Source organism: Homo sapiens, chromosome 1 (assembly GCF_000001405.40).
Source record: "Homo sapiens chromosome 1, GRCh38.p14 Primary Assembly".
Lineage (NCBI taxonomy): Eukaryota > Metazoa > Chordata > Mammalia > Primates > Hominidae > Homo > Homo sapiens.
The window spans coordinates 239,100,156-239,108,765 of record NC_000001.11 but is presented as its reverse complement, the minus strand read 5'-3'; the positions used below and the strand labels follow the sequence as shown (position 1 = coordinate 239,108,765).

The 8,610-nt window shown below is 44.3% G+C and overlaps 2 annotated features.

Annotated features, from left to right (window-relative positions):
* Positions 462-961: an enhancer, noted in NCBI's record as "OCT4-NANOG-H3K27ac hESC enhancer chr1:239271105-239271604 (GRCh37/hg19 assembly coordinates)". NCBI's record gives its function as "activates a minimal SCP1, AML or CMV promoter by ChIP-STARR-seq in primed H9 embryonic stem cells {active_cell/tissue: H9 hESC(primed)}" and the evidence as "EXISTENCE:reporter gene assay evidence [ECO:0000049][PMID:30033119]".
* Positions 1,597-2,319: an enhancer, noted in NCBI's record as "OCT4-NANOG hESC enhancer chr1:239269747-239270469 (GRCh37/hg19 assembly coordinates)". NCBI's record gives its function as "activates a minimal SCP1, AML or CMV promoter by ChIP-STARR-seq in naive and primed H9 embryonic stem cells {active_cell/tissue: H9 hESC(naive and primed)}" and the evidence as "EXISTENCE:reporter gene assay evidence [ECO:0000049][PMID:30033119]".

Below are 8,610 nucleotides of genomic sequence, written 5' to 3'. Positions count from 1 at the left end.
AGTTAAATGGATGCATTTTCCCCTGGGGTGACTAAGTTTTCATCAGGACACACTCCGTTAAGAGCCATTCCTTAGGTATTTTCAGTACTGTCTGTAGATTCTTACATGGCTCTCCAATACATAATAACAGTCCTGCTCCAGTTATTTTCTTCAAGCCTCTCTCATATATTCCAGACACCAGCAGATACTTGACTGCTGGTTGGATCTAACCTGAATCAAATGCTTCTTTTTTTTGGTGCTATACATACTTTTATTATGTATCTTCCACTACAGGAGTTGCCTCTACTTGTTCCCACACAAATCCTACATATCCTCTGAGAAGGAGTTCATTTTAGTCTTTCCAGGAAGACTTCCCCTATTCACAGCGTTCTTTCTTTCTTGTATTGGTCTTCTCCTTTCCTTAGTTTTACAGTTTAGAGACTTTATTTTGTTTGCTGCCTTAGCAGGGCTGAACACATAGTTGTAACTCAATGGATATTCATTTCTTAAATAAATGAATAAATTTATGCTAATATGAGTATTTCTGTGCAAGGTCTAATATGGGAAACATATATGTCACAGCAACTGGTACTGGGTGATGCACTTCATAAGAGAAACAGTATTTGTAAAGTACTTTGTAAGACGCAGAAAGTGGTTGATCACCGGGAATCTTTTCTTTCAGTGCTCCTTCCCCTATCAATGTATTTATATAATTTTGCTAAAATATCATTGGCATAATGTGTAGGCTAAGTGTGTTGAAATGACCTGATATCAAATTCTGTGTCTTAATCATCTATTTTACCCCCAGACCTTAGTACAGGGTGGACCTCTGATTGGCAAATGTTAGTGTGCATAAGAATAGCACACAGGGGCCCTGTTAAGATGATGATTCCCAGCCAGGTGCAGGGGCTCACACTTGTAATCCCAGCACTTTGGGAGGCCAAGGCAAGCGGATCACGAGGTTAGAGGATTAGACCCTCCTGGCCAACATGGTGAAACCCGGTCGCTTGAACCCAGGAGGCGGAGGTTGCAGTGAGCCAAGATCATCACACTGCACTCCAGCCTGGCGACACAGCCAGACTCCGTCTAAAAAAAAAAAAAAAAAAAAAAAAGATGATGATTCCCTTGCCCCTTCCCTGAACATCTAATTTAGTAGATGTGAGGCAAATCCCAAGTATCTACATCCTTAATAAGTATCCCCAGGTGGTTGTGATGTAGGCCATTAAAAACCACACCTGGAGACCCACTGGTTCAGTGCCTCAGTGAATATTTGTTGAAATTAATTAACGCATCTAAGGAAGCTTCATCATTTATAAGACACTATTCTTTAAGCCATAAGCTCAAGATTATTTTCTCTTAAAAGAGATTTTTAAATATACATTTTTCCTATTAATGGAGATATAGCTCTGACTTGAATCCCCAAGTGAAACATGCCAGGTGACTGATTGGGGTTGAGATAATTTGTGTAATTCTGTGAAAGAAAAGGCGAAATACACCAGAAGAGGAAAATCCATAGAGTCAGAAAGTAGATTAGTGTTTGCCAGGGGCTGGGGTGAAAGAAAGGGGGAGTGGCTGTTAATAAAAATGAGGCTTTTGGGGGTGAAATATTCTAAAATTAGATACTGATTATCTAATTAGATACTAATTCTAAAATTAGAGCAACCCTGAATACACTAAAAACCATCGGATAGTACATTTTAAAAGGATAAATGGTATAGTATGTTTCATGCGCATCTGTGTGAAGAGACCACCAAACAGGCTTTGTGTGAGCAATAAAGCTTTTAATCACCTGGGTGCAGGCGGGCTGAGTCCGAAAAGAGAGTCAGCAAAGGGAGATAGGGGCGGGGCCGTTTTATAGGATTTGGGTAGGTAAAGGAAAAAGGGGGGTTGTTCTCTGGCAGGCAGGAGTGGTCGTCACAAGGTGCTCAGTAGGGGAGCTTTTGAGCCAGGATGAGCCAGGAGAAGGAATTTCACAAGATAATGCCATCAGTTAAGGCAGGAACAGGCCATTTTCATTTCTTTTGTGGTGGAATGTCATCAGTTAAGGCAGGAACCGGCCATCTGGATGTGTAAGTGCAGGTCACAGGGGATATGATGGCTTAGCTTGGGCTTAGAGGCCTGACATTCCTGTCTTCTTATATTAATATGAAAAATAAAAGGAAATAGTGGTAAAGCGTTGGGATGGCGAAAATTTTGGGGGATGGTATGGAGAGATAATTGGCGATGTTTCTCAGGGCTGCTTCGAGCGGGATTAGGGGCGGCACGGGAACCTAGAGTGGGAGAGATTAAGCTGAAGGAAGATTTTGTGGTAAGGGGTGATATTGTGGGACTGTTAGAAGAAACATTTGTCATTTAGAATTATTGGTGATGGCCTGGATACGGTTTTGTATGAATTGAAAAACTAAACGGAATAAGAGGAGGAGAAAAACAGGTATTAAAGGTCTAAGAATTGGGAGGACCCAGGACATCTAATTAGAGAGTGCCTAAGGAGATTCAGCATAGTCCTGCTAGCAAAGATTATTTATTTACTTCAAGAGTTAAGAGTGGCAGTTTGGGGATAGCACCAGGAGATATCAGCTGTGACAGCTTGGAAAAACAGTGTAAGCCAGCAGTGTAAACAAGAGCAGGGCATGTATGAGTAGTTGAGAATGGTGAATAGGAGTATGACTAGACAGAAGATAGTAGGGATGACAAGTTTTTTGGGGGGCACAGTCTAAGTTGGTCTGGTGTCTGAAATGAGACTGGGGCTTAATAAAAAGGAGCATCCATACAGGAGCTCAAATGGACCGTACCCTGTAACATTCCGAGGGCAGGCCTGAATTCTGAGAAAAGAAAAAGGTAAAAGTATTGTCCAGTCCTTTTAAAGTTGGTGACTGAGCTTGGTGAGGTGTGTTTTTAAAAGACCATTAGTCCATTCTACCTTTCCTGAAGACGGAGGACTGTAAGGGATATAAAGGTTTCACTGAATACCAAGAGCCTGAAAAACTGCTTGGCTGATTTGACTAATAAAGGCTAGTCTGTTATCAGACTGTATAGAGATGGGAAAGCTAAACTGAGGAATTAGGTCTGACAGAAGGGAAGAAATGACTGCGGTGGCCTTCTCAGACCCTGTAGGAAAGGCCTCTACCTATCCAGTGAAAGTGTCTACCTAGACTAAGAGGTATTTTAGTTCTCTGACTTGGGGCATGTTGAGTAAAGCTAATTTGCCAGTCCTGGGTGGGGGCAAATCCTCGAGCTTGATGTGTAGGGAAGGGAGGGGGCCTGAATAATCCCTGAGGAGTAGTAGAATAGCAGATGGAACACTGAGAAGTTATTTCCTTGAGGATAGATTTCCACGATGGAAAGGAAATGAGAGGTTCTAAGAGGCGGGCTAGTGGCTTGTACTATAGCATAGCCTGCCTTTGCTGGTGTGTGGCGATTAGGCCTGGTGGAACCGCCATCAATAAATCAAGCGTGATCAGGGTGAGGAACAGGAAAGAAGGAAATATGGGGAAATGGGGTGAATGTCAGGTGGATCAGAGAGATACAGGCATGGGGGTCAGGTGTGGTATCAGGAGTAATGTGGGAGCCAGAATGAAGTCCACGCCAGGAACAATGGTAATTGTGGGACTTAACAAAGAGTGAGTACAGCTGAAGGAGCCGGGGAGCAGAAAGTATACGCGTCAGGTATGAGGAAGAAAATAGATTTTGGAAGTTATAAGAAATGTAGAGAGTGAGTTGAGCATAGTTCGTGATTTTTAGGGCCTCTAAAAGTATTAGGGCGGCAGCAGCCGCTGCATGGAGACATGAGGGCTAGGCTAAAACAGTAAGGTTAAGTCGTTTGGACAGAAAGGCTACAGGGTGCGGTCCTGGCTCTTGTGTAAGAATTCTGACCGCACTAACCAAGCCTAGGAAGGAAAGGAGTTATTGTTTTGTAAGGGATTGAGGTTTGGGAGATTAATCGGACACGATCAGCAGGGAGAGCACATGTGTTTTTATGAGAATTATGCCAAGATAGGTAACAGATGAGGATGAAATTTGGGCTTGACTGAAGTAATGGGGGCTGTCTGTGAAGCCTTGCGGCAGTACAGCCCAGGTAATTTGCTGAGCCTAATGGGTGTCAGGGTCAGTCTAAGTGAAAGCAAAGAGAGGCTGGGATGAAGGGTGCAAAGGAACAGTAAAGAAAGCATGTTTGAGATCCAGAACAGAATAACGGGTGGTAGAGGGAGGTATTGAGGATAGGAGAGTATACGGGTTTGGCACCATGGGGTGGATAGGCAAAACAATTTGGTTGATAAGGCGCAGATCCTGAACTAACTTGTAAGGCTTGTCTGGTTTTAGGACAGGTAAAATGGGGGAATGGTAAGAAGAGTTTATATGCTTTAAAAGGCCATGCTGTAACAGGCGAGTGATAACAGGCTTTAATCCTTTCAAAGCATGCTGTGGGATGGGATATTGGCACTGAGCGAGGTAAGAGTGATTAGGTTTTAATGGGATGGTAAGGGGTGCATGATCGGTCGCTAAGGAGGGAGTAGAGGTGTCTTATACTTGTGGGTTAAGGTGGGGAGATACAAGGGGAGGATGTGAAGGAGGCTTTGAACTGGGGGAAAAGGTGGCAATGAGGTGTGGCTGTAGCCCAGGAATAATCAGGGAAGCAGATAATTTAGTTTAAGTGTCTTGGCCTAATAAGGGAACCGGGCAGGTGGGGATAACTAAAAAGGAGTGCTTAAAAGAGTATTGCCTGAGTTGGCACCAGAGTTGCAGAGTTTTAAGAGGTTTAGAAGCCTGGCTGTCAGTACGCACAACAGTTATGGAAGCAAGGGAAACAGGCCCTTGAAAACAAAGTAATGTGGAGTGAGTAGCCTCCGTATTGATCAAGAAGGGGACGGACTTACCCCCCACTGTGAGAGTTACCTAGAACGTCTGTGATGGTCCTGTAGGTTTCTGAGGCCATCGGGCAGTGTCAGTCTTCAGCTGCTAAGCTGAGAAGATCTGGGAAGGAGTCAGAGAGCCTTGGGCCAGAGTTCCAGGGGCTCTGGAAGTGGCTGCCAGGTGAGTTGAACAGTCCAATTTTCAGTGGGGTCCCGCACAGATGGGACATGGCTTAGGAGGAATCCCGGGCTGTGGGCATTCCTTGGCCCAGTGGCCAGATTTCTGGCACTTGTAGCAAGCCTCTGGGGGAGGAGGTTCTAGAGGAACCCCTGGCAGCTGCAGTTTAGGAGTTTGGAGTTCTTGTGTGCTGGAGATGTGGCTGGGGTTTGTCTCACAGTGGAGGCAAAGAATTGCAACTCAGAAATATGTTGCTACTTGGCTGCCTCTATTATTGTACACCTTGAAGGTGAGGTTAATTAAGTGTTGTTGTAGGGTTTGAGGGCCGGAATTTAATTTTTGGAGTTTTATTTAATGTCGGGAGCAGATTGGGTAATAAAATGTATATTGAGAATAAGACGGCCTTTTGACCTTTTAGGGTCTAGGGCTGTTAAGCGTCTCAGGGTTGCTGCCGAATGAGCCATGAACCGGGCTGGGTTTTTCATATTTGATGAAAGAGCCTAAACGCTCACTGATTTGGGAGAGGTCTGATAAAGAAAAAGGAGCATTAACCTTGACTATGCCTTTAGCTTCAGCCACCTTTTTAAGAGTAAATTGCTGGGCAGGTGAGGGAGGGCTAGTCACTGAACGAAACTATAAGCCGGACCAGGTGTGAAGAGGGGAGGTGGTAGAAGGATTATAGGGTGGAGGAGCAGAGGCTGAGGAAGAATTGGGACATAGCTCAGCCTGGCGAGGAGCAGCCTGGGGAGGAAGGGAGAGGTCAGATGGGTCTGTAGAAAAGGAAGATTAGAAAGACTCAAAGACGCTTGGGGTTGGGACTGAGGGGACAGGCGGGAGGGAAAGAAGGAAGATTTGGGATGAGTTGCACTGGGCACAGAGACTAGGGAGGGACTGATGTGTAAAAGAAGGCCTGGACGTCAGGCACCTCAGACAGTTTGCCTATTTTACGACAAGAATTATTTAGATCTTGCAAGATGGAAAAATTGAAAGTGCCATTTTCTGACTATTTGGAACTACTGTCGAGTTTGTATTGGGGTCAAGCGGCATTGCAGAAGAAAATAAGATGCTTAGATTTTAGGTCAGGTGAGAATTGAAGAGGTTTTAAGTTCTTAAGAACACAGGCTAAGGGAGAAGAAAGAGGAATGGAGGGTGGAAGATTGCCTATAGTGAAGGAGGCAAGCCCAGAGAAAAGAGAGAGTAGAGACACGGAGGGAAGGGGTTCGGGGGTTCTTACCCTCCAGAAAAGCGAGAAAGGGGTCGGGGTGCAGAAATAAGGGGTTGGGGCGCAGAGATAAGAGGTCGGAGTGTGGAAATAAGAGATGGGGGCGCAGAGATGAGATCTGGGCATGGAAATAAGGGATCGGGGTGCAGAGATAAGAGGTCGGGGTGCAGAAATAAGGGATTGGGGCACAGAGATAAGAGGTCAGAGTGCAGAAATAAGGGATGGGGTACAGAGATAAGAGGCTGGGGCATGGAAATAAGGGATTGGGGTGCAGAGATAAGAGGTCAGGGCACAGAAATAAGGGATTGGGGGTTCTTGCCCCCTAGAAAAGCGGGACTTGCCGCTAAGAGTGAAGGAGAAGGGGTTGAGGGGTTCTTAACCCTCCTCCAGAAAAGCGGAGAGGGGTAGAGACACGGAGAGAAGGGGCTGGGGTACTTGCCCTTCCCCCAGAAAAGTGGGACTTGCCACTAAGGGTGAAGGACCAAGGCAGGTGTCCCTGCGTGGTCTGACACCTCTGAAACGTGGGTGAATAATCAGAGGCGTCCTTGCGATGATTAAACACCAAGGGAAGCCTGCCTTCCCAGTCCGTGACCAGCGCCGGAGTTCTGGGTCCAGGGATAAAACGTGTCTCCTTTGTCTCTACCAGAAAATGAAAGGAATTGAAATTAAGAGAAGGGAGAGATTGAAGTGTGGCGCCAAGATTGAAAGGAGAAAGAGGTTGAGGGATAGTGAGGGAGGTTGGAGAAGAGAGTAAAAAGAGGCTGCTTACCGGATTTAAAATCGGTGAGATGTTCCTTGGGCTGGTTGGTCAGAGGAACTGATGTCGTAGGTGGATCTTTCTTCCGGAGCAAAGAACAGGAGGACAGGGGATTGGTCTCCTAAGGGAGGTCCCCTGATCCGAGTCACGGCACCAAATTTCATGTGTGTCTGTGTGACCACCAAACAGGCTTTGTGTGAGCAATAAAGCTTTTAATCACCTAGGTGCAGGCAAGCTGAGTCCGAAAAGAGAGTCAGCGAAAGGAGATGGGGTAGGACCGTTTTATAGGATTTAGGTAAGTAAAGGAAAAAGGGAGGTTGTTCTCTGGCAGGCAGGAGTAGAGGTCACAAGGTGCTCAGTAAAGGGGCTTTTGAGCCAGAAGAAGGAATTTCACAAGATAATGCCATCAGTTAAGGCAGGAACAGGCCATTTTCATTTCTTTTGTGGTAGAATGTCATCAGTTAAGGCAGGAACAGGCCACCTACATGTGTACATTTAGGTCACAGGGGATATGATGGCTTAGCTTAGGCTCAGAGGCCTGACAGTATGTAAACTATATCTCAATAAAGCTATTGTAAAAAAAAGAAGCAAATCCAGTAAATCATATAACGATTAATAAGTCAAGTGAAAGAACAATGAACAACTGTGCACTCATGTCTATCTCATTTTAGTTATAGGGCTGAGGCCTTTGTAGAAGACATTCAGACAAATAACTCAGATGGGTGTTAAGGGAATTTTATATTCTAAACTGATGGTGAGTGTTTCTCAGTATTTGCTGAACAAACTGTCTGTCAGGAGAGCTCAAATATTAAATGAGATTATGCATATTGAAATCAGAAGGAAGAGTTGTATTTACCACGTAAATTAGCTGAACATGTGCACGCATGCACAAAAGCACATGTACGTGTGTGTGTGTGCATGCACACACAAGATGTAATGTGCAATGTTCCCATGGTCCTATAGAGAAATATGGAAATAGAAAAATTCCACCCAACTTTTCTGTGTAAAGATAAAAACTGATTTTTCTTTCTTCAAAATGTTAATATTTTCCTTTTGGTTTATCTGAATTCTATCTAGTCACTTCAAAACGTTAGCATCTATCTTCCTCTTCTGCCTTTCGCCTAGCACTAACCAAAGATTTTGAGGCCCATAGCTTTTCTTGTAGCTTGACGGTGAGTGGCAGGGTGGGCAGAAAGGAAGGATGTTTTCATGCAAGCACTAAGCAAAGTCACCATGTCTTCCTTTGTTATCAGCCAGCCTCATTGACAAGGAGCCCGTGTGTGTGTGTGTGTGTGTGTGTGTGTGTGTGTGTGTGTGTGAATTTGAGAGAAAGCAATGGTAAAGAAAGGGCTAGGTATTCTTTGAGGTTTATTTTTCTCAGAATTGGTAATAAACATTCAAAAGGATGCTATGAGGGAGAGAGAGATAGAGAGAAACATTCTGGTTTTTCTTTATACCTTTGTATCTTTGACTTTTTCTTGAAATGCAAGCACAATAATAAATAGTAAAACAATACCTACATGAAACTAATAAGACATTTGTTTCTATTTTTTACATATTTTATTGGAGAACAAACTTTAAAAGCAAAAGGCTATTTTTATTATTTGTAGTCATGGAAAGAGAA